This window comes from Homo sapiens, chromosome 11 (assembly GCF_000001405.40).
Source record: "Homo sapiens chromosome 11, GRCh38.p14 Primary Assembly".
NCBI classification, from domain to species: domain Eukaryota; kingdom Metazoa; phylum Chordata; class Mammalia; order Primates; family Hominidae; genus Homo; species Homo sapiens.
Genome location: NC_000011.10, coordinates 64,894,529 through 64,917,441, shown reverse-complemented (window position 1 = coordinate 64,917,441; position 22,913 = coordinate 64,894,529). Strand labels below are relative to the sequence as shown.

The window sequence follows — 22,913 nt, the reverse complement described above, 5'->3', positions numbered from 1 at the left end:
GGTTAAAGGTCCTCCCACACAGTACTTTACGCAAGCGTAAATCATGATTGAGAGCCCTATATCATGCAGAGAGCCCAGTCCCTTTTTCGCGCCCGAAGGCTCCGCCCCGCGCAGCCAATCAGTAGGCCTCGCCCTTTGCAATAGCCAATGACAGTGAGCGTAGGGGGCGTGGCTGGGCGTCCGGAGGCGCGGCCTGGCGCCTAGAGAAGCGGCGGGGCGAGCCGGGGGCTCTAGTGAACAGCGGAGCCGGACGGGGATCGCCGGCGGGCGGCAAGCGGAGGCGGCCCAGGCCCGGCGGTCTCCGAGATGTCACGATGGCTGTGGCCATGGTCAAACTGTGTGAAAGAGCGGGTCTGCCGCTACTTGCTGCACCACTACTTAGGTCACTTCTTCCAAGAGCACCTCAGCCTGGACCAGCTCAGCCTCGATCTGTACAAGGGCAGCGTTGCCCTGCGAGACATCCACCTGGAAATCTGGGTGAGGAGCCAGGCCCGAGTCCAGGAAGGTGCGGAGGGTGGGAGCGCAGCGACCTGAGGCTCCCTGCGGCAGGATCGGGCTGGGGGATCAGGCACCGGGCGTAGAGAGGCCAGGGGAATCTTGCCCTCTCCAGGCGTCAGAGGCACCCCGGCTGGCCTCTTCAGTTCCTTACCAGAGCCAGAAACTGAGCGGGAAGGGGTTTCTGTCTCCACGGGAGGAGAAACTGAGGCTGGAGAGGGCAAGATCACCTGTCTGGAGAATGCAAGACAAACTCGTCGAGTTTGGGGGCTGAGTTAAGGAGGTTGGCTCTCGGGCTGAGGAGGGGCTGGGGAGGGAGCGTAGGAACTGAGCTGGGCCAGGGCAGTGACAGACTTGGGCCTGCGCAGCTGGTGGGGGAAGCTGGTAGGGGTCCGGAGCCCTGGCGAGGACACCTGTGGATCATGTGCCCTGACCTCTTGACCCCACGGTCCTGAGCCCGTAGGTGGGATCAACAAACCACCGGATGTGTATGTCAACAACCGCGTCAGTACGTCAGTACCAGTGTTGATCAACACCTCGTGTGCCTGGGTCGCTGCCTACTTCCTGCTTTTGGGAGAGTGGGATGGGCCAAGTGGGTGTCTAGGGAGGGACTGGATGGCCCCCACCTACATCTCCCACCGACCCCCCCGGCTCAGTGTCCCTGCCTGGAGGGAGGCCCTGGAGGAAAGGTGGGGAGATCTGGCTTCAAGCCGGGAGGAGGCCAAGGGAGATGCTAGGGAGGCCAAGAGGTGTAAGGTCAGAGGCTTGAGGCTGGGAACGGTGAGGAGCCCTGACTCACAGCTCAGCTGACCTGGGGAGCTTTGAAGGAGCCACCAATTAGAGGCGCGTCCTGGTCGATCCACCAGGTCCAGAGCAGCAGGGGTGGGCATGGAGGCAGGGACTTCTCAGTTTTGTGGCTGGACTCAGGGGGCTGCTAATCTGGGCAGAAGAGCTAGGCTTTGGGGGTAGGCCAGGCCCTGGTGAGCAAATGTGGGGTAGGATAATCGTGGGCCCTGAACTGGGGGCACCCCCCAGTGGCCTGCTGTCTGTGAATTCTGGTGTAGGAAGCCCTCTCTGACCTCTAACCTTAGCCTCAGCCTCTAAGGCCGTCTCTAGGCTGCCCCTTTTTTATTTTTATAGAGACAGGATTTCGCTATGTTGCCCAGGCTAGCCTTGAACCCCTGAAGGGATCCTCCCACCTCAGCCTCCCAAAGTGCTGAGATTATAGGCATGAACCACCATACCCAGCCCTAGGCTTCCCCTTTTTACTTTCAGCTCCAGAAAACGCCCCTACTCCTGTTCCCTGCCCTCTTGTTGGGGATTGAATTGGCTTCTCTAGGGCCCTGGTGGAATGCAGGCGCTTTCTTGATAACCAGCCCCTCCTCCCTCCCAGCTCAGCCTGCAGGCCCCGCCTTGAAGGCCCCCAAAGAAACTGAGTATCTGGGGCCTCTGAAGTGGCATGAAAAGAAAGAGGCCCGCATCCCAGTCTCAGTCCCTGTTGTATACTGGGTGACTAGATTAGTCCTGTCTCTAGGCCTCAGTTTCCCGAGCTGTGGGTCTCTGGGTGAGGAATTTGGACTCCCATCTGCTCTGCCATGTGCTTTTTTATTCTTGGATCCAACCAGTTTACTGAGGCCCTTTCTGGGTGGCACCTGGGGTGACGGGGGAGGCAGGTGGGGTACAGCCCTCCAGGAGCTTCCAGGTTGGCAGGGGTACAACTCCAGCATGGACATTTTAGCCAGGGGCTCAGCCTTGTGCCTCACAGAGAGGCACAGCTACACTAGGTGTTTGGGGTTGGTGGTGGGGGGGGGGGGTCCCATCTGGCATTAGGTCAGCCCCTCTCTTGGACACTGTCCCTTTGAACTCTGCTCATCCAGGGTGAACATGGGTATTCTGGACTCTGCCATACATGTGCCCATGTTGTCCTGTGCCTGCAACACACCACCTTCTACCAGCGCCTATCCCCCCTCCCTTTATTCTTCAGCTTGCCCCTCCTCTGACGGCCCAGGCTGGGTTAGGCGTCTTCCCCACGGCCCCCCCACCAGCCCCCTCACCACCCCCAAGCACCTGCTCACCTCTTGAGTTTCATCCTAGTTGCTCTGAGTCCCTGGCTGGAGCCTAGCTTGGCTGGGGAATGAAGACATTTTATTTACCCATCTAGTCTCAGTGTCAGCATGTAGAAAGTGCTCGGTAAATATTATCTTGAATTAAGTGGTGAGGGAAACATCTGCTCTGGCTTGAAGGATTAGGCACCTTTGGGTGACGGGGTAGGGGGGCTGGCCTGTAGTAGGGGACAGCATGAGCATAGGTGGGACCTTGTAGATAACACGTGGAGGGACAGGGCAAGCCAAGGGTGCTCTCCAAGGCACTATGGCCAGATAAGGCTGTGCCAGCCTGTGGGATTTGGGGTTTCCCTGAGCTGGTTTTGTCTCTTGCTTGCTCCCAGTCTGTGAACGAGGTGCTGGAGTCAATGGAGTCACCGCTGGAGCTGGTGGAAGGCTTCGTGGGCTCCATCGAGGTGGCCGTGCCCTGGGCTGCTCTGCTCACCGACCACTGCACAGTGCGCGTGTCCGGCCTCCAGCTCACCTTGCAGCCCCGCCGGGGTCCAGGTGAGGGCAGGGCGAGGCTGGGGGCAGGCAAGTGGGGAGAGTGGGCTGGGGCGTCCAGGACCTGACTGGGCCTGCCTGCCTTGAGACCCTGTTTCTCCCTACAGCGCCAGGGGCTGCCGACTCACAGAGCTGGGCCTCATGCATGACCACAAGCCTGCAGCTGGCCCAGGAGTGTCTGCGGGATGGGCTACCGGAGCCCTCTGAGCCACCACAGCCCCTGGAGGGGCTGGAGATGTTTGCCCAGACCATTGAGACTGGTGAGCAGGCCCCTCCTGGCCGCCCTGTCTCCTGCCCTTCAGTGGCACACAGAACAGGGGCTCCAGACAACGGCACGGCCACCCTGGTGCCCAGATGGGAAATTCTGCCTCCCCTTTGCTGCTCTACCTGACCTGAGACCCCTCCCCAACTCCTCAGTGCTTCGGAGGATCAAAGTGACCTTCCTGGACACTGTCGTGAGGGTGGAGCACTCTCCGGGTGATGGGGAACGTGGTGTGGCCGTCGAGGTCCGTGTGCAGAGGTAAGGGCAGGCCGATCTGGGGTGGACTGGTGTGAAGATGGGGAGTGGGGGCTGCTGGATGGTCCCCACCCGCAGCCTAGGTTCCTGGGAAGAGGCAGGGTGGATCTGGATGGGCCTCGGTGGTGGTAGGGTTGGGGAGGTGGGCTGCATCGTGAGCCCGGACTGGTGTCCAGAGGCCAGGTGATACAGGCCCAGAGTGGCCGAGGCCCCAAGAACCAAGTTAGATGCTGAGGGTCTGAGGAGCAAGGGCTGGCCTGAGCCTCCGGGCTGGACATGGTGGTTCAGGACGGCCTAGGTGTGATGGGGCAGCTCTGCAGGCTAGGCTCCCTGACCCCGTGCCCCTAGAGCAGAGCACTGTGTGGAGAGAGGGGCTCCAGGCCTGGGGTGGCCAGGGCACGGGCTGACCCTACACTCTCCAGACTGGAGTACTGTGATGAGGCAGTGCGGGACCCAAGCCAGGCGCCGCCGGTGGACGTGCATCAGCCGCCTGCCTTCCTGCACAAGCTGCTGCAGCTGGCAGGGGTCCGCCTGCACTACGAGGAGCTCCCGGCACAGGTGAGCGGGCTCTGATTCCCACAGCCCCTGTCTCCTCTCCCTTGAGCCCATTGAGCCCCTCCCATCCTTTCTGACCATCTCTGACTCCATTTTCTCAACCTTTCCCTCTTGTATCCTCCCGTCTCCCAGGAAGAGCCTCCAGAGCCCCCCTTGCAGATCGGCAGCTGCTCAGGGTACATGGAGCTGATGGTGAAGTTGAAGCAAAATGAGGCCTTCCCTGGCCCCAAGGTGGGTCCCCAGGCCCCTGGGGAGGGGGTGAGTACCCCATCTCAAGACTCCTCCTCCTCAGCAAGGCTGATTATCTACAGCCCACAGTGGGGATGTCAAGTGCGGGATTTACTTCCTTCTTGGCAGCTAAAGAAACTGAGGCTGTAGGCCAGGCACAGGGTTCACACCTGTAATCCCAGCACTTTGGGAGGCCAAGGTGGGTGGATCATCTGAGGTCAGGAGTTCGAGACCAGCCTGGCCAACATGGTGAAACCCCGTCTCTACTAAAAATACAAAATTAGCCAGGCGTGGTGGCACATGCCTGTAATCCCAGCTTCTTGGGAGGCTGAGGCGGGAGAATCGCTTGAACCCAGGAGGCAGAGGTTGCAGTGAGCCAAGATTGCACCACTGCACTGCAGCCTGGGCAACAAGAGTGAAACTCCATCTCAAAAAGAAGAAAAAAAGAAACTGAGGCTGAGAGGTCAAGTTGTGGCCTGGTTCATAGAGCTAGTTGGTAACAGAGTTTAGTTTGGTAGCCAGCATCCTGCTTTCCCAGGGCGAGGGCAGGCGGGTGGTAGCTCTTAGAGGAGCTGGGTGGTGGGCCTAGGCTCCATGGCTGCCTCCTTGGCCCCCAGTTGGAGGTGGCGGGACAGCTGGGCTCCCTGCACCTGCTCCTGACCCCGAGGCAGCTCCAGCAACTTCAGGAACTGCTCAGCGCCGTGAGCCTTACAGGTGAGGCCCCTGGGTGGCATGGGGGTGGGGTGGCTGGGAGGGCCAGCCAGCCCAGACTGAAGTCTCCTCCCCTGCAGACCACGAGGGCCTGGCTGACAAGCTGAACAAGAGCCGCCCGCTAGGTGCCGAAGACCTGTGGCTGATTGAGCAGGACCTGAACCAGCAGCTGCAGGCAGGGGCAGTGGCTGAGCCCCTCAGCCCAGACCCCCTTACCAACCCCCTTCTCAACCTGGATAACACTGGTGGGTGTGGGGTCAGACCGTGGTTGGAGGGGCAGCTAGTGTGGGTGCAGCAGCCTAGGGGCTGGGGTCGGCTGTCCCTGACACTCCTCACTTCACCCACAGACCTCTTCTTCTCCATGGCTGGCCTCACAAGCAGTGTGGCCTCAGCCCTCTCTGAGCTCTCCCTCTCCGATGTAGACCTGGCCTCCTCTGTGCGCAGCGACATGGCCTCCCGCCGGCTCTCTGCCCAGGCCCACCCAGCTGGTGAGTTGGAGCACCCTGGGGGTACTCCAGGGACAGGAAGGACTGGAAGAGGCCTTAGTGCCGTGGGCTGTCAGAGGCACACAGGAAATCCCCAGCGATGCCTGGATATCTACCATCTGTGACTTGGTTCCCTGGGGACCAAACAAGGTGGGAGCTGGTGATAGAGTGGACAGAGCCTAGGTTTTTCAGTCATTGATCTTAGTCAAGCACTTGAACTCTCTGAGACTCAGCTTCCTCTTCCATAGGAAGAGAAGGGTGAGATCAGCCTTTGCCAGGCTGTATATCTGGGTTCATGTTTATTGAGAGCTTATTGTGTGTGGGTGCTAGGCTGGGTGCTTTATCACATCCTGTCCTTCCAGCACCCTGAGGAGGGTTCAGTTGAGCCTGGGCAGAAGGCCTGGTCTACTGGAGGCACCAGTGTCACCCCTGCCTGACCAAGCCTTCTGCCAGAGCCACATGGTGGGGCAGACCTGGCCTCCCAACCCCCAGCCTGGTGGCAAACTATTGCTCCACCTGGGGTACCCGGAATCTGTTGGGAGCCCCTGCTGAAGCCTCTGTCCCCTCAGGCAAGATGGCCCCCAACCCCCTCCTGGACACCATGCGCCCTGACTCGCTGCTGAAGATGACCTTGGGGGGTGTGACCCTGACCTTGCTTCAGACGTCTGCCCCATCTTCCGGACCACCTGACCTCGCCACGCACTTTTTCACCGAGTTTGATGCCACCAAGGATGGGCCCTTCGGTTCCCGAGACTTCCATCACCTTCGACCACGCTTCCAGAGGGCCTGTCCCTGTAGCCATGTTCGGTATAAGCCCGAGGCCAGGGCCTGAGGAGAGACCATCAGAGCCCCCTAAGTGCACCTTCTGACGCCTGTCCTCTTCCCCGCAGGCTAACGGGCACAGCCGTGCAGCTGTCCTGGGAGCTGCGGACGGGCAGTCGGGGCCGGCGGACAACCAGCATGGAAGTGCACTTCGGGCAGCTGGAGGTGCTGGAGTGTCTGTGGCCCCGGGGCACCTCTGAGCCTGAGTACACGGAGGTGAGGGCAGAGGCAGAATGTGTACGAGGCGGGGTCTGGAGGTTTGGGTGGCTGTGGGGCCAGGCCTGACCCTGTGTGCCTCCCGGGTCCCATCCCAGATCCTGACCTTTCCTGGTACGCTGGGCTCCCAGGCCTCAGCTCGGCCCTGCGCCCATCTGCGCCACACACAGATCCTGCGCCGTGTGCCTAAGGTAACCCACCCGCTCCAGGCCACCAGGCTGTCCCCATGGCGTGTTGACCCCACCCTGGCCTCTGCCAGGGCCTCCTCTGCTGCCCAGCCCTGTCCCTCTTCCCCTGTGCTCCACATCTCTCCATGCTGGGGCCCTCAAATACCTGCCTGGCCCTTCCTATGCCAGTCTCTGAGCCTGGTCATGCCCTTGCCCTATCTCAATATGGCCCCCTGGCTGGCCTCTGTTGCTAAGAGTGGCGCATGTCGGGTGGCTTTTATAAGTAAACAAGCACATTGTGCGCGTCGGGCAAAGGTGGGGCAGGCCTTCTTAGTGCTCTCGTGGCCCCTGCCCCAGCTCTTCTCCCACTACCAGAGAGGGCCTTCCTGTCCCACCCGCTGAGTACCACTCAGCCCTCACTGACCTGAACGCCCTCGCCCTCAGAGCCGACCCCGGCGCTCAGTTGCCTGCCATTGCCACTCAGAACTGGCCCTGGACCTGGCCAACTTCCAGGCGGACGTGGAGCTGGGGGCCCTGGACCGGCTGGCCGCCCTACTGCGCCTGGCCACCGTACCTGCTGAGCCTCCAGCCGGCCTGCTGGTGAGAGGCCCCTGCCAGGGCCAGGCCGGGGGTGGGTGCAGGGCCTGGGTCCTTCGGCTCTTGGTCACAGTGGGAGGGGCTCCGACGGCTGCTCTGACCCCCAATCCTCCTGCAGACAGAGCCCCTGCCGGCGATGGAGCAGCAGACGGTATTTCGGCTCTCTGCACCCCGGGCCACGCTGCGGCTGCGCTTCCCCATTGCCGACCTGCGGCCTGAGCCGGACCCCTGGGCGGGCCAGGCCGTGCGGGCTGAGCAGCTTCGGCTGGAGCTGAGTGAGCCCCAGTTCCGGTCAGAGCTTAGCAGTGGGCCTGGTCCCCCAGTCCCCACCCACCTGGAACTCACCTGCTCCGACCTACATGGTGAGAGCCCCCGAGTGACAGAACTTGGGGCAAGAGGCCTGGCTTCTGGGAGAGATGGGCTTGGGGCTATGGAAGGGGCCCAGTCACAACCCGAGCAGTCCCTGGCCCAGGCCTTTACCAGCTCTTGGGGTCCCAGCACTGCCTGTCCCCGGCCTCCTCACCGACAAGTAGGGTGGACCCTTTGTCTCTGGCTTTCTCTGCCCACCAAGGTGTGTGTGGAGTCGGGGGCACAGCTCTGAGCCGACCTGGGCATTGGGGAAGAAATAGGAAAAGGCAGCAGTGATGACCCCCCTAATTCCCCATCCCCCTCCAGGTATCTATGAAGATGGAGGGAAGCCACCTGTCCCTTGCCTGCGTGTCTCCAAAGCCCTGGACCCCAAGAGCACTGGGCGCAAGTACTTCCTGCCCCAGTAAGTAGGGGCTCTGGACTGGGCCCAGGAGAGGAGGGTTCTGCTGGGGGTGGCAGGGGGCCAGTTTGGAACTGGGTGCCGGGGGCCCTGCAGGCCAGTAACAGGCCTGTGCCCCGGCAGGGTAGTGGTGACTGTGAACCCCCAGTCCAGCAGCACACAGTGGGAGGTGGCCCCGGAGAAGGGAGAGGAACTGGAGCTGTCAGTGGAGAGTCCCTGTGAGCTGCGGGAACCTGAGCCCTCGCCCTTCTCCTCTAAGAGGACCATGTATGAGACAGAGGAGGTGAGACTTGGCCCCACCTCTTCCCAGGACCCCCTCCCGCCCACCGCCCGGGTTCCTGCCGTAGGAGCCACCTGTGTGGCTGTGGGCCAGGGCAGCACGACCACCTGGGGTGGGCATGAGCTGACCCAACACCAGTGAGGATTTCGGCTCTTCCATTCTTTCCAGCCAGTCAGAGAGTCTTTCTGAAACGGCACTGGTGAGGGCAGGCCCCTGGGGAGCATGGGTCCTCGATTGGAAAGATCAGGTCCTGCCCCACCTGACCCGTGGATCAGCACTGTACACTTAGAAAGGCAGTTAAGGGCCAGGCTCTGCCACTTGGTGACTGTGTCATCACCCTGGGGAGTTATCTGACCTTGAAGAGTTACCTATAGATGAGTTTCTTCCCCTGGAAAATGGGCACCATGACCTGTCTTTCTCTCTTTTTTTTTCTTTTTTTTTTGAGATAGAGTTTTGCTGTGTCGCCGAGGCTGGAGTGCAGTGGCATGATCTCGGCTCACCGCAACCTCCGCCTCCCAGGCTCAAGCGATTCTCCTGCCTCAGCCTCCTGAGTAGCCGGGATTACAGGCGCGTGCCACCACGCCCGGCTAATTTTTATATTTTTAGTAGAGACGGGGTTTCATCATGTTGGCCAGACTGGCCTCTAACTCCTGACCTCAAATGATCACCCACCTCAGCCTCCCAAAGTGCTGGGATTATAGGCATGAGCCACCGCACCTGGCCTAATTTTGTATTTTTAGTAGAGACAGGGTTTCACCGTGTTGGCCAGGCTGGTCTCGAACTCCTGACCTCAAGTGATCTGCCCTCCTCACTCTCCCAAAGTGCTAGGATTACAGGCGTGAGCCACCGCGCCCAGCCTAACCATAACCTGTGTCACAGGCCTGTTGTGAGGATGAAAGAAGTTAACATACCTGAAGCCCTTAGAACAGCACAGGTGTGCCATCAGCACTGTATCTGTACGGCTATCATGCATCCCCAGTAGAGAAGGGCTCCTATGAATGAATGAATGATGAACGACAGGAGGGCAGGACTGAGACCAGAGACAGGCCCCAGCCAGCGTCTCTAAGATGACTCTCCTGCTCTTTCCACCTCACCCTGTCCAGATGGTGATCCCTGGAGACCCTGAGGAGATGAGGACGTTCCAGAGCCGGACCCTGGCACTGTCCCGCTGCAGCCTGGAAGTGATCCTGCCCAGTGTCCACATCTTTCTGCCCAGCAAGGAGGTCTACGAGAGCATCTACAACAGGTGGAGACCCGGGGCCAGCAGGGCGGGACTGGACACTGGGTGGGCCTGGCCTCCCTTACCTGCTGTCCACCCGCCTATCTCAGGATCAACAACGACCTGCTCATGTGGGAGCCTGCAGATCTGCTTCCCACCCCCGACCCCGCCGCCCAGCCCTCGGGCTTCCCCGGCCCCTCAGGCTTCTGGCACGACAGCTTTAAGATGTGCAAGTCAGCCTTCAAGCTGGGTATGAGAGGTGCTAACGCTGGGCTAGAGGGAGGACCCCCAGGTCTGGGAAGGGCCAGGCTAGCCCTTCGCGGTCTCCTTCCCAGCCAACTGCTTTGATCTCACCCCAGACTCGGACTCGGATGACGAGGATGCCCACTTCTTCTCAGTGGGGGCATCAGGTGGCCCACAGGCCGCTGCCCCTGAGGCCCCAAGTCTTCACTTGCAGAGCACCTTCTCTACACTGGTGACAGTGCTGAAGGGGCGGATCACAGCCCTCTGTGAGACCAAGGTGAGTGCAGCCCCGGGCAGGCGGGCCCCAAACTTCAGAGCTCCCATTGGCGGCAGAGCAAGACCAGCGCGAGCAGCTCCAGGTCAAGAATGTGGAGAGCAGGAGGCCTGAGTGGGCAGCGCCAGCCCACCCACGCCAGCCTGCCCACCCTGTCACAGCCCATCAGCTCCTTCTGACCCCCTGCTGTATGTAAAGCACCATGCTAGGGGTCGGGATGGGCATGGAGCACCCACTGTTCCCACTCCGAGCGGGCAGACCCGGCAGAGATTATTTTTCTCCTGGCAAAAGAGGCAAGTGCCATCCAGGGCCTCCAGCAGCGTCCATGGTGGAAACTGGAGCTGACCCCCTTAGGCCAGGGCTCCAGGAGCCGCCAACCCCCAGAGGGCTTGAGGGTTGCTGAGTGCAGCTGGGGAAGCCAGGCTGTGTGCTCCTTCTGCAGGATGAGGGTGGGAAGCGGCTGGAGGCTGTGCACGGGGAGCTGGTGCTGGACATGGAGCACGGTACCCTCTTCAGCGTCTCCCAGTACTGTGGCCAGCCAGGACTTGGCTACTTCTGTCTGGAAGCTGAAAAGGCAACACTCTACCACCGAGGTGTGAGGCCTGGGGGCAGGTCACCACTGGGGTCCAGGGTTGGGGGTGGAGGGCTTTCAGGACGGATGTGGGCCCTGGGTGGAGTGGGTAGCCAGTTGGCTTGGCAGGGGGCTCATGAGACCCCTCCCCAGCGGCCGTGGATGACTACCCGCTGCCCAGTCACCTGGACCTTCCCAGTTTCGCTCCCCCGGCTCAGCTGGCCCCAACCATCTACCCATCGGAGGAAGGGGTGACCGAGCGGGGAGCCTCGGGCCGCAAGGGCCAGGGCCGGGGACCCCACATGTTGTCCACTGCTGTGCGCATCCACCTGGACCCCCACAAGAATGTGAAGGTATGGGCTTGCCTACCATCCACCCCTCCTGCTAGCCTGGGCTGCAGCCCCGGTGTGCGGTGGGACCCCAGTGCGCGGTGAGGCCCCAGTGCACGGTGGGGCTGGCCTCCCCACTGCCCTGACTGCGCCCCCACCCTCAGGAGTTCCTGGTGACACTGCGGTTGCACAAAGCCACCTTGCGCCACTACATGGCCCTGCCCGAGCAGAGCTGGCATTCCCAGGTGAGCGTGGGTGGTGGGAAGCCACATGGCCCAGTGACTCTGGACTTCTGTTTTGGGCAAGCAGGTCTCTAGGTGGGAGGAGGCCGGTGGGAGGAACATGGACTGGGCCACAGCTGACCTTGTCCGGAGCTCCTGGGCAAGGGGTGTGGCAGACAGCTAGTGGGCAGAAGGTGAGGTGCCAGGCAGGGGCCAGGACAGGGAGGGGTTAGAGGAGGGAGGACACCACCTGATCCTCACTGCTTCCTCCTGCCCTGGCCTCTGAAGTTGTTGGAGTTCCTAGACGTGCTGGATGACCCTGTGCTGGGCTACCTGCCCCCGACGGTCATCACCATCCTGCACACACACCTGTTCTCCTGCTCTGTGGACTATAGGTACCAGGCTGGGTGGGCCAGGGGCTGGGGACGGGGATGGGCTCTCAGGTGTAAGGAGCCGGCCCCAGCCCGAGTATCACCCCCAGGCCACTCTACCTCCCAGTGCGTGTCCTCATCACCGCGGAGACCTTCACTCTCTCCAGCAACATCATCATGGACACCTCCACCTTCCTGCTCAGGTATGCAGGCCGCCCCACACTGGGCCATCCCACCCTCGCCGGGCCGAAGCTGCCTGCCAGCTGTGTGTCCTCTGGTGCTCTCGGTCTTAATGTACACCCGGGTGATAGTCTCATTCTCAGGAATGTGGATTGTTTCCGCCTTTCTAGAGGGCAGTTGGAGCCTCCTGATGAGACCCTTATAAGCATTTGTGCTCTCTGACCTGTAATCTCATGTCTGAGGGTTGTCCTAGGATATGCGAATAAGAGAGGTGGGATTTAATGCTTATGGAGTATAAGTTAAAACAGCCAAAACGTATCAGTTAAATCACAAGCCTCACAACCTGAGCAAATAAGCATGGCCCACCTAGTAGGTAGAAAACCATGCAGGGATTAAGGTGAAGCTGAAGAATCCCTTCAAAATATAAGAAGATGGAGGGTGCGGTGGCTCACACCTGTAATCCCAGCACTTTGGGAGGCTGAGGCAGGCAGATCACAAGGTCAGGAGTTCGAGACCAGCCTGGCCAATATGGTGAAACCCCGTCTCTACTAAAAATACAAAAATGAGCCGGGGGTGGTGGCAGGCGCCTGTAGTCCCAGCTACTTGGGAGGCTGAGGCAGGAGAATCACTTGAATCTGGGAGGCGGAGGTTACGGTGAGCGAAGATTGCGCCACTGCACTCCAGCCTGGGTGACAGAGCGAGACTCCGTCTCAAATAAATACATAGATAGATAGATAGATAGATAGATAGATAGATAGATAGATAGATAAAAAATATAGAAAGATGCCACAGTACAGTGTTTACTCAAATAACATTGGATACAGGACTGCGTACGTTTTAAAATCAGTTTATGAAGGGGTGTTTATATGTCTCGGCGTGCAGCTGCAGAGAAAGTTTGGAAGGAGATGTGTATGGTGGTTTTCTCAGAATTAGGGATTAGGAATGATGAATGATTTTTATTTTCTTTATTCTAAAATATCTTAAAGGAGTTTTCATTATGTTACCCTTAAAATAAAGACTTTTTTATTTATTTTTTTTTTTTGAGACAGAGTCTCGCTCTGTCAGCAGGCTGGAGTGCAGTGGCGCAATCTCAGCCGACTGCAACCTCTGCCTCCTGGGTTCAAGCGATTCTCCTGCCTCAGCCTCCCAAGTAGCTGGGACAACAGGCACCCACCACCACACCCAGCTAAGTTTTGTATTTTTAGTAGAGACAGGGTTTCACCTTGTTGGTCAGGCTGGTCTCGAACTCCTGACCTCGTGATCCGCCTGCCTTGGCCTCCAAAAGTGCTGGGATTATAGGCATGAGCCACCATGCCCAGCCCTTATTATTATTTCTTTTTGAGATGGAGTCTCACTCTGTCGCCCAGGCTAGAGTGCAGTGGTGTGATCTAGGCTCGCTGCAACCCCTGCCTCCCTAGTTCAAGAGATTCTCCTGCCTCAGCCTTCCAAGTAGCTGGGATTACAGGCACCCGCCACCATGCTCGGCTAATATTTGTATTTTTAGTAGACATGGGGTTTCACCACGTTGGCCAGGCTGGTCTCAAACTCCTGATATCAGGTGATCCGCCTGCCTCAGCCTCTCCAAGTGCTGGGATTACAGGCGTGAGCCACCGCGCCAGCCAAAAATAAGGACTTATTTTAGAAGAACCACAAATGCAGCAGGGAGAAAAATGGACACCCCTTCCCAGGACTGTCATGAGGCCCCATTGAGGTGTCGGAACTGCAGGCACTTTGAGAGCTGCAAGTGCTGCCCGCTTCCCACTGCCTGCTGTCTGGGCCTTCTCCCCATTGTGCAGGCAGGAACGCTGAGGCTGGAGGGGCCTGTCCATACCACCTCCTGTGGGCTTGGGACCCCTCTGCTCGGCTCCCGTGGAGCTGCCCCCTGCAGCGGTGCCCGGGCCCTTCTCAGCCCTGTTCCCCCCCAGGTTCATCCTCGATGACTCCGCCTTGTACCTGTCCGACAAGTGTGAGGTGGAGACCCTGGACCTGCGGCGAGGTGGGCAGGGCCGGGACTGGGCTCCCTCCCCTCTGAGGGACCACCGCCCCGGCCACACCCAGAGCAGCCAGGTGTCTCCCCGCAGCTGCTGGCCGGGTCCTTAGCTCCCACACGTAGCCCGCACAGCAGGGACTACACCTGGATCAACCGGATCCTTCCCCCAGGTGCTGGGGCCGGGGCCGGGTGGAAGGGGGCCACAGGACCTTTCTCTCGCCTCTGCTGCAGATTATGTCTGTGTTTTGGATGTTGACCTCTTGGAACTTGTGATTAAAACCTGGAAAGGGAGCACCGAGGGCAAACTGGTGAGTGAGGCTGTCACTCTGGCTCCTGGAGCCACAGCAGGTGCAGGGGCCAAGGGAGTCTTCAGGGGCTGCTGCTCCCTCACGTGCCTGGGCTCCGGACACAGTTCATGCCTGCCCTTCCTGGGCTGCAGTTAGCGCCCCTCCTGCAAAGGGCCATAGTACAGCCCTGGTGGGGGTGTCCCTTGATGCTGGCTGAATGAATGAATGGGTTTCAGCCCTGCCACCAGAGGACGCGGCAGCCAGGGCACCAGCGAGGCCCTGGGAATCAGCCACCTTTGTAGGTCCCCGGATTCATCTCCTGTAAGATGGAGATAACCTGCCCTGCCTCGCTAGGCATGCAGAGCCCTTCACGGGGAGTGGGGTAGGGTGGGTGGGCACACTCCTGCTTCCTTGGATGGCCCTGGGCCAAGCCCCTTTCACCCTCTGGGTGAACAGTTTGTTCATCTGTTCAGTGGAGTTACTGGGCAGGTCATCCACTCCAGGAGAGACCATCCCTGTTCTGCCTGTGGCAGGATCAGAACTGCGGTGCCCTCCCAGCGAGCGGGTGGGGCCAGCAGGCAGTGGCCCCTGTGTTCACATAGCTGCTCCCCCCACCCCGCCCCTGCAGAGCCAGCCACTATTCGAGCTGCGCTGCTCCAACAATGTGGTACACGTGCACAGCTGTGCCGACTCCTGTGCCCTGCTGGTCAACCTGCTCCAGTACGTAATGAGCACAGGCGATCTGCACCCCCCACCCCGGCCCCCCAGCCCCACGGAGATCGCCGGCCAGAAGGTACAGGTGAGGCCTGGCCACACAGGCTACCAGAGCTCGGCCAGGCCCCTCCCCTGCCATGGCCCTCGGGCCTGGGGTTGGGGGAGCTCTGTCCTGTCTCACTCATTGCTCCTCCCCTGCCTGGCCCAGCTCTCGGAGAGTCCTGCCTCTCTGCCCTCGTGCCCCCCAGTGGAGACGGCCCTCATCAACCAGCGTGACCTGGCCGACGCCCTCCTGGACACCGAGCGCAGCCTACGGGAGCTGGCCCAGCCTTCAGGTGAAGTGGGGGTGCTGTGGGGACAGCAGACACAGTCAGGCACCCACTGTGGGCGCCTCTCCAAACTGGCCTCTCTCCTATAGGTGGCCACCTCCCTCAGGCGTCGCCCATCTCCGTCTACCTATTCCCAGGTGAACGGAGTGGGGCCCCACCCCCTTCACCACCTGTCGGGGGCCCTGCTGGCAGCTTAGGGTCATGCTCAGAGGAGAAGGAAGATGAAAGGGAAGAGGAGGGCGATGGAGACACCCTGGACAGTGATGAGTTCTGCATCCTTGATGCTCCCGGCCTGGGCATCCCGGTGCGTGGTGGGAGGGATGGACCAGTTTGCCGTCCAGGCAGGTGTGTTTGGAGCGGGGACGGAACACTCAGGGGTGGTTGCCTGGCCATCTGGAGCTCCCGTGGTGAGAGAAGCAGGCAGGAGGTGGTTGCCATCACCTCGGGGGTGGTGCTAGGTCTGTGCCACCCTAGGGAGGCAGCCCTGATGCTGGGCTTTGATGGAGTAGGGGGATTTCCAGAGGAAGAGGAGGCCTGGTGTTTTGGGCAGAGGGACTGGGAAATTCAAGGGATGGAGGAAGAGGAGAGGGCAGTTAGCAAGAGGGATGGAGAACCATGTGGCTGCAAGGGCCAGTGGGAATGTCTGAACTCACCCAGGTCTTAGGAGGCAGGGCTGGCAGGAGCCTGGCATTCTCAGGCTCCTCTTGGACAGACCACTCAGGCATAGACTCGGGTGATAGCAACCCAGGAGTGTCATCTTTCATCAAAAACAGGGAGGAGGCCAAGCATGGTAGGTTACGCCTGTAATCCCAGCAATTTGGGAGGTCAAGGTGGGAGAATTGCTTGAGTCCAGCAATGAGAGATTAGCCTGAGCAACATAGTGAGACCCCGTCTCTACAAAAAATAAAAATAAAATTAGCCAGATATGGTGGCACATGTCTGCAGTCCCTGCTACTCAGGAGGCTGAGAATGGAGGATCGCTTGAGCCTAGGAGGCAGAGGTTGCAGTGAACTGTGATTGTGCCACTGCACTCCAGCCTGGGTGACCGAACATGACCCGACCCTGTCTATAAAAAAAAAAAAATGAAAAAGAAGTGAGGCCAGGTTGCTGGGGCTGGGGGCAGCTGGGCTGGATCGAACATCTGTGTCACACGTCTACCTGGCCTCCCTGCAGCCCCGAGATGGGGAGCCTGTGGTGACACAGCTGCATCCCGGCCCCATCGTTGTGAGGGACGGTTACTTCTCACGGCCGATCGGCAGCACGGACTTGCTGCGGGCACCTGCCCATTTCCCAGTGCCCAGCACTCGGGTGGTGCTACGTGAGGTCTCCCTCGTCTGGCACCTCTATGGGGGCCGAGACTTTGGCCCCCACCCCGGCCACAGGTGAGGAGGAGCGGGTGCAGGTGGCAGCTGGTGAAGGTTGGGGCTCAGGCTGGTCCAGGTCTGACTTTCAGCAGCTGGAGACCTTGAGCCCCATCCACCCCAGGTGGGCCTCAGTTTCCTCATCCTTCCTTATCCCGCCTGCCTTCCAGGACTGGGGCTAGCGGGGGTCTCTTGTCCCAGGCTAAAAGGCCCGCTGAGGACGGGGAGGGAATGGGGTTCCTCTGAGTCAGCTTGGCCCCTGTCCCTCTTCCCAGGGCAAGAACTGGCCTCTCAGGTCCCAGGAGCTCCCCTTCCCGCTGCTCTGGCCCCAACCGGCCCCAGAACTCATGGCGCACGCAGGGGGGCAGCGGGCGGCAGCACCATGTCCTCATGGAGATCCAGCTGAGCAAGGTGAGTGGGGTGGCGAGTGCCTACTACACGTGTGTGTCATAGAACAACGGGCCTTGTTCTCGATGTCACGTGTAGCAATGACTAATGCAGAGGAAAACCCCTGCCTTTGTAGTGGAGGAAGCCAGGCAGGGACCAAGATGTATCGAGTGTGTCCGATGGTGAAGAGCGCTCAGGGGAGAGTCTGCAGGGGTGGAGGAGACAGGTGTGCTGGGGAGGGTCTGGAAAGTCCTCTTCTGAAGGCACCATTTGAACAAAGACCTGAACAAGTGGGGATGTGAGCCAGGAAGAGTTTTCAGGCAGAGAGGACAGCGTGAAAGCCGCAAATTGGGGCCAGGCATGGTGGCTTATGCCTGTAATCCCAGCACTTTGGAAGGCCGAAGAGAGCAGATCACCTGAGCTCAGGAGTTTGAGACCAGCCTGGGCAACATGGCGAAACCCCATTTCTACCAAAAAAAAAAAAAAAAAAAATTAACCATTTGCAGTGGTGTGTGCCTATAGTCCCAGCTACTCAGGAGGCTGAGGCAGGAGAGTTGTTTGAGCCCAAGAGGCAGAGGTTGCAGTGAGTTGAGATCGCCCTATTGCATTCCAGCCTGGGCAACAGAGTAAGACTCTGTTTCAAAAAAAAAAAAAAATGCTGGAAGCTGGAAGCATCCTGACATTTCCAGGAGCAGCAGAGCCTGTGCATAACCAGCGACCCAGAATGTTTCTTTTGAGTCTTACAAGAGACGAACCCCTCAGGGCTTTTGAGGAGAGGCCTCTGTGGGGTGGGGCTCTGCAGCAATCAGGGAGGGCTAGTGAGCAGGTTCAGGAGAGCCTAGATGGGGGCTGGCCACAGGTTCAGCTGCGGATGGGGTGTGTGAGATACAGAGAGTGGTACAGAGGGTTCAAGGTTTGGGCCTGGGAAATTGCCTGGGGCAGGGGGGTCCCACTTGCTCAGAGTGAGCCAGGCCAGTGCTGGGCTTCCCAAGGAGCCGCTAGAGGCAAAGGGCAGAGGGGCCTCAGGCTGCTCGGGTTGGTGGGCTGTGCTGCAAGAACCTGCGGGAGATGAGTGTCAGAGCAGGGGGCCAGGGGCCTCTCTGAGACCTGATGGCCAGCCAGCGGGTGTGCAGGAAGAGGGGGAAGGAAGGCTCTCCACGGAGAGGGGCTACGAGAGCAAAGTCCTGAAGGCAAAACAGGCCTGGACTCCTTGAGGGGCAGAGACCAGTGCAGCTGGCATGGGAAGCAAGAGCAGGGTCAGGTCTGGAGGGAGAGGCAGGTCCCTGCTGGGCATAGAATAGAGAAGGGGTAGGGGCCGGGCATGGTGGCTCATGCCTGTAGTCCCAGCACTTTGGGAGGACGAGGCAGGCAGATCACTTGAGGCCAGGAGTTCGAGACCAGCCTGGCCAACGTTGTGAAACCCTGTCTCTACTAAAATTAGCTGGGTGTGGTGGCACATGCCTGCAATCCCAGCTACTGGGGAAGCTGAGGCAGGAGAATCGCTTGAACCCGAGAGGCAGAGGTTGCAGTGAGCCGAGATCACGCCACTGCACTCCAACCTGGGCGACAGAGTGAGACTCTGTCTCAAAAAAAGAATAGAGAAGGGGTCTGGGGCCAGCCCTTCCCTCCCTCTTGGGGCCCTGCTTACCTGGCCAGGCCTCTGTCCACCCCACAGGTAAGCTTCCAGCACGAGGTGTACCCAGCGGAGCCAGCCACAGGCCCTGCGGCCCCCAGCCAGGAGCTGGAGGAGCGACCGCTGTCCCGTCAGGTGTTCATCGTGCAGGAGCTGGAGGTCCGAGACCGGCTCGCCTCCTCCCAGATCAACAAGTTCCTGTACCTACACACGAGTGAGCGGATGCCGCGACGTGCCCACTCTAACATGGTATGAGCGACCTGCACCATCCACCCTGGGGCAGGGCACCAGACCGTTGGGGATACATCTTCACGCATGCATGGATTCACACACATACACGCATTCCCACACAAACACCCAGGTTGTTTGTGAGCCTGGGAGAAGGGCAGAGCTAGGGGCTGTGTTAGCGAAGGGAACAGCGTGTTCAGAGGCAGGGTGGCTGGGTGAGCTGTCAGGGAACAGCTGGGTGAGCTGCTGCCCCAGAGGCCCAGCAGGTGTCCAGAACTCACCCTCTGCTCCCAGCTCACCATCAAAGCGCTGCATGTGGCCCCCACTACCAACCTGGGTGGGCCTGAGTGCTGTCTCCGCGTCTCGCTGATGCCCCTGCGGCTCAATGTGGACCAGGTGAGTGGTCTACGTGAGGGCAGAGCCTAGGGTGACCCCACTGTCTCCAGGCCTCTGAGTCTGATCCACATCTGGACCTCTCCCTTGCAGGATGCCCTCTTCTTCCTCAAGGACTTCTTCACTAGTCTGGTGGCCGGCATCAACCCCGTGGTCCCAGGGGAGACCTCCGCTGAGGGTGAGAGGCTGGGCCAGGGAGGGGAGCGTCTGGGCCTTCTGCCTCCCAGGACAGCACAGGTTCCCAGTCATTCCTGGCCCCATCCCCAGTCTGTGACCTCCCCTCCCCTAGCTCGCCCCGAGACTCGAGCCCAGCCCAGCAGCCCCCTGGAAGGGCAGGCCGAAGGCGTAGAGACCACTGGTTCGCAGGAGGCCCCAGGAGGTGGACACAGCCCCTCCCCTCCTGACCAGCAGCCCATCTACTTCAGGTAGGCTGCTGGACTGCGGGTGGGGGGCCCTGGGCCAGATTGCTGGGGGCCAGGCCAGTGAGCAAAGAACCCCCTCTTCCTGCTCCCCTACCCAGAGAGTTCCGCTTCACGTCTGAGGTCCCCATCTGGCTGGATTACCATGGCAAGCACGTCACGATGGACCAGGTGGTAAGTGGGGCGGTCGGATGGGGTGGCCATGTGGGGTCAGCTGTGGCTGAGTCCCTCTGGGGGCCAGGTCTTGCATCCAGGCACTGTTAGCAGCCAGGGCGCTCTCCAGTGGCTCCCATGGGCTAGCTAGCTCCCTGAGTCCCATTGGGTAAACCTGGACCCCCTCCCTCTCCCAGGGCACTTTTGCTGGCCTCCTCATCGGCCTGGCCCAACTCAACTGCTCCGAGCTGAAGCTAAAGCGGCTCTGTTGCAGGCACGGGTGAGTCCCCAGCACCCCAGCCTCTCTCCAGGGTCCCTGATCTTCCTTCTGTTCTGGTCCTGACTGGTTGTGTGGCCTTGGCCAAGTCATCACCCTTCTCAGGGCCTCAGTTTCTCCTCTGTAAAAAGGACGCAGTTGGCTGGGCATGATGGCTCACACATTCAGGCATTCGAGACCAGCCTGACCAACATGGTGAAACCCCCCCGTCTCTACTAAAAATACAAAAATTAGCCAGGCGTGGTGGCATACACATGTAATCCCAGCTACTCAGGAGGCTGAGGCAGGAGAACTGCTTGAACCTGGGAGGCGGTTGCAGTGAGCCAAGATCGCACCACTTCACTCCAGCCTGGGCAACGGAGCAAGACTCCATCTAAAAAAAAAAAAAAAGGACACAGTCCCTCTGCACATGACTGGGTGGGACCACAGGGAGGGTAGAGTGCCCACAGTACTTGCCACAGGGGTACTGAGTCCTCCTGACCCCACAATCCCTCCATGTGTGGCTCTGCCTCACCTTCTGCCTCCTCACCTCCCTGCCCTGCCAGGCTCCTGGGTGTGGACAAGGTGCTGGGCTATGCCCTCAACGAGTGGCTGCAGGACATCCGCAAGAACCAGCTGCCCGGCCTGCTGGGAGGCGTGGGCCCCATGCACTCGGTTGTCCAGCTCTGTGAGTGTCTAGGTTTGGAAGCCCTCGAAACTGCTTTTACCCTTGGGCAACCTAGAAGCTGCCATTGGGAATAAGAGGAGGAGGTGGGGGCAGGGCAGCCTCGGGTGTCTCTGAGCGCTCCTTCCCCCTAGTCCAAGGGTTCCGGGACCTGCTGTGGCTGCCCATTGAGCAGTACAGGAAGGATGGCCGCCTCATGCGGGGGCTGCAGCGAGGGGCTGCCTCCTTTGGCTCATCCACAGCCTCTGCCGCCCTGGAACTCAGCAACCGGTTGGTACAGGCTATCCAGGTGAGTGGGTGCCCTGTATCTGGGCTGTGCAGGACAGAGCAGCTGGAGCCCTCTGCACCACAGCTCCCTGGTTCTGTCCTCAAAGCTCCTCAGAGTGGGCAGTCTGGGTATGACAGCCCTACTTTATAGAGAAACAGCCACGGAGAGGCTAAGTGACTTGCCTGGGACCTCCAAGCCAGGTCTCCCGAGGCCCACAGGGGCTCCCATGCAGGAGCGGGAGTGCCCCCCAGGCCTTCAGAGCCCACTGTGTCTCCTGCTCATGGCATGTCTTGTAAAGGGGGGTGGAGGACGGCTGTGTTTGCAGACTAAGAATCTGAGGCGCAGAGGCTGCCCTGGTTCATTCAGGCCATACGCTTCGCTAGGCCAGAAGGACCCCAGGGAAGCTGGGGAGCCAGTCTCGTGGGCAGTTGTCAGATGAATTCTGTAGGGGATCGATGGTCCTAGGCGGCTAAGGGGTGAGTGCAGGTGCATGGTGCATTCTGGAACCTGCAAGCTCAGACCCCAACAGGACAGAGGGCAGGGCTCCAGGGGAGGTGGGAGGGATGCATGGGCACCAGGGAGCCCCCGGGAGTGTTCAGTCAGGTGGGAAAGAGTGATGCCAGGTGAGATGCTGGGCAGAGGATCTGGCAGACAGAAGGAAGGATGGGCCTCTGACCATCTGGCAGGGGCGTCTGGGGGGCCAGGCAAGGAGCGGTCAGTCTCAGGCGTGCAGCTGCGGCAGCCATGTGGAACCTGCTGAATGTGGTGGTCAGCAGGAAGAGAGGTTTGGGTTGAGAAGACTTTAGGAAAGTCCCCTGAGGAGTCCCACGTTCCTAGGTTCCCTCAGCAGAGTGGCAGGTGCCTAGGAAGGGGAGGAAGAGTGGGAGGAAGTGGGGAGTGAGGCTGAGCAGGACCCCCTAGGCCAGCACAGTGACAGGCAGGGAGGCTGAGGGCTGGTGGGGTCTCAGACTGTCCTGGGGGCCTGGGGCTGACGTGTGCCCCAGCCAGCTGTCCTCATCCAGTGCTCCCATGTCCCCCAGGCCACAGCTGAGACCGTGTATGACATCCTGTCCCCGGCAGCCCCCGTCTCCCGCTCCCTGCAGGATAAGCGCTCTGCGCGGAGGCTGCGCAGGGGCCAGCAGCCTGCCGACCTGCGGGAGGGTGTGGCCAAGGCCTACGACACAGTGCGAGAGGTGACCAGGCCCCCGCCCTGCCCCAGTCCCCCATGCCCATCTCCTCACACAGACCCCGCCCTGACCTCTGGCTTCCACAGGGCATCTTGGATACAGCTCAGACCATCTGTGACGTGGCATCGCGGGGCCATGAGCAGAAGGGGCTGACGGGCGCCGTGGGGGGCGTGATCCGCCAGCTGCCCCCGACTGTGGTGAAGCCGCTCATCCTGGCCACGGAGGCCACGTCCAGCCTGCTCGGGGGCATGCGCAACCAGATTGTCCCCGACGCCCACAAGGACCACGCCCTCAAGTGGCGCTCGGACAGTGCCCAAGACTGAGCCTGGGGTGCCCGGCACCCAGAGGGTGCTGCCCACCATGCTCCTGAGCCTCCCAAGAGCTGCAGCCCACGGGCCCGGCCCGGCCTGGCCCTTCAGGGGATGGCCACTGTGAAGGACGCCTTCCCAGCCTGCCCGTTGCCAATCTGCTGTGAGAGGGGGGCCTCCCTGCCTTGGGGCCTTAGCCCTGGCTCTGCACTTTTCCTCCGGGGAGAAAGGACACTGCCCCTCCCCCGACCTGGGCCCACACTGCTGCCTTCTCCCAGGACGGAGGCTTTTGGACCCTCGGACCCCATCCCACTCAGCCAAGTGTCTTTCTGTGTCTGGGGGGAGGAGGGGATGATATCCGTGTGGTTCGATGTATTATTTTTAAGCTCCGTGAGTGCGTGGGTCAGTGTCTGCATGAAGTGGAATAAACTGCCCACCGCCAGCCCCCCTCTCAGATCC

General features: G+C 60.4%; 1 protein-coding gene and 2 non-coding genes across 11 annotated transcripts, besides 2 other annotated features; all 3 read left to right on the top strand.

The window, feature by feature from the left end:
* Nucleotides 12–321: a silencer, noted in NCBI's record as "silent region_3501". NCBI's record gives its function as "represses an Ori minimal core promoter by ATAC-STARR-seq in GM12878 lymphoblastoid cells {active_cell/tissue: GM12878}" and the evidence as "EXISTENCE:reporter gene assay evidence [ECO:0000049][PMID:35858748]".
* On the top strand, nucleotides 233–22,896 carry ATG2A (autophagy related 2A). Of its 9 annotated transcripts, none has more exons than NM_001367971.1 (41): nucleotides 233–477; nucleotides 2,942–3,104; nucleotides 3,209–3,361; nucleotides 3,519–3,621; nucleotides 4,041–4,176; nucleotides 4,306–4,404; nucleotides 5,019–5,115; nucleotides 5,193–5,357; nucleotides 5,460–5,600; nucleotides 6,167–6,404; nucleotides 6,488–6,635; nucleotides 6,734–6,826; nucleotides 7,247–7,402; nucleotides 7,518–7,761; nucleotides 8,075–8,171; nucleotides 8,292–8,451; nucleotides 9,552–9,694; nucleotides 9,778–9,917; nucleotides 10,027–10,187; nucleotides 10,627–10,777; nucleotides 10,909–11,108; nucleotides 11,249–11,329; nucleotides 11,594–11,700; nucleotides 11,787–11,879; nucleotides 13,782–13,852; nucleotides 14,078–14,154; nucleotides 14,762–14,926; nucleotides 15,056–15,182; nucleotides 15,266–15,480; nucleotides 16,350–16,558; nucleotides 16,813–16,948; nucleotides 18,600–18,806; nucleotides 19,080–19,181; nucleotides 19,272–19,356; nucleotides 19,468–19,603; nucleotides 19,699–19,771; nucleotides 19,948–20,030; nucleotides 20,573–20,694; nucleotides 20,826–20,980; nucleotides 22,000–22,152; nucleotides 22,233–22,896. In NM_001367971.1, the coding sequence occupies exons 1-41, from the start codon at nucleotides 307–309 to the stop codon at nucleotides 22,467–22,469; spliced, it is 5,793 nt and encodes a 1,930-aa protein (NP_001354900.1). In that variant the 5' UTR covers nucleotides 233–306; the 3' UTR covers nucleotides 22,470–22,896. The 9 variants fall into 9 exon arrangements, 6 of the variants coding, with proteins under 6 accessions (NP_001354900.1, NP_001354901.1, NP_055919.2 ...); NM_001367972.1 differs by having other exon boundaries at nucleotides 14,762–14,932; NM_015104.3 differs by having other exon boundaries at nucleotides 10,003–10,187.
* Nucleotides 14,987–15,055, top strand: MIR6749 (microRNA 6749). Its single transcript, NR_106807.1, has one exon. It is a non-coding gene; the product is annotated as a microRNA 6749 (primary transcript).
* Nucleotides 16,992–17,121: an enhancer, noted in NCBI's record as "active region_4933". NCBI's record gives its function as "activates an Ori minimal core promoter by ATAC-STARR-seq in GM12878 lymphoblastoid cells {active_cell/tissue: GM12878}" and the evidence as "EXISTENCE:reporter gene assay evidence [ECO:0000049][PMID:35858748]".
* MIR6750 (microRNA 6750) lies at nucleotides 19,005–19,079 on the top strand. The gene has a single exon (NR_106808.1). It is a non-coding gene; the product is annotated as a microRNA 6750 (primary transcript).
* Nucleotides 22,897–22,913: the final 17 nt, after the last annotated feature.

Bases quoted from the DNA above. Each gene is read 5' to 3' on its own strand.
- ATG2A (XM_011544863.3), top strand. From the start codon at position 307: ATGTCACGATGGCTGTGGCCATGGTCAAACTGTGTGAAAGAGCGGGTC. The intron at 6,827-7,246 runs GTAACCCACCCG...CCTCGCCCTCAG, and splicing joins TCCTGCGCCGTGTGCCTAAG to AGCCGACCCCGGCGCTCAGT. The intron at 9,695-9,777 runs GTGGAGACCCGG...CGCCTATCTCAG, and splicing joins TACGAGAGCATCTACAACAG to GATCAACAACGACCTGCTCA.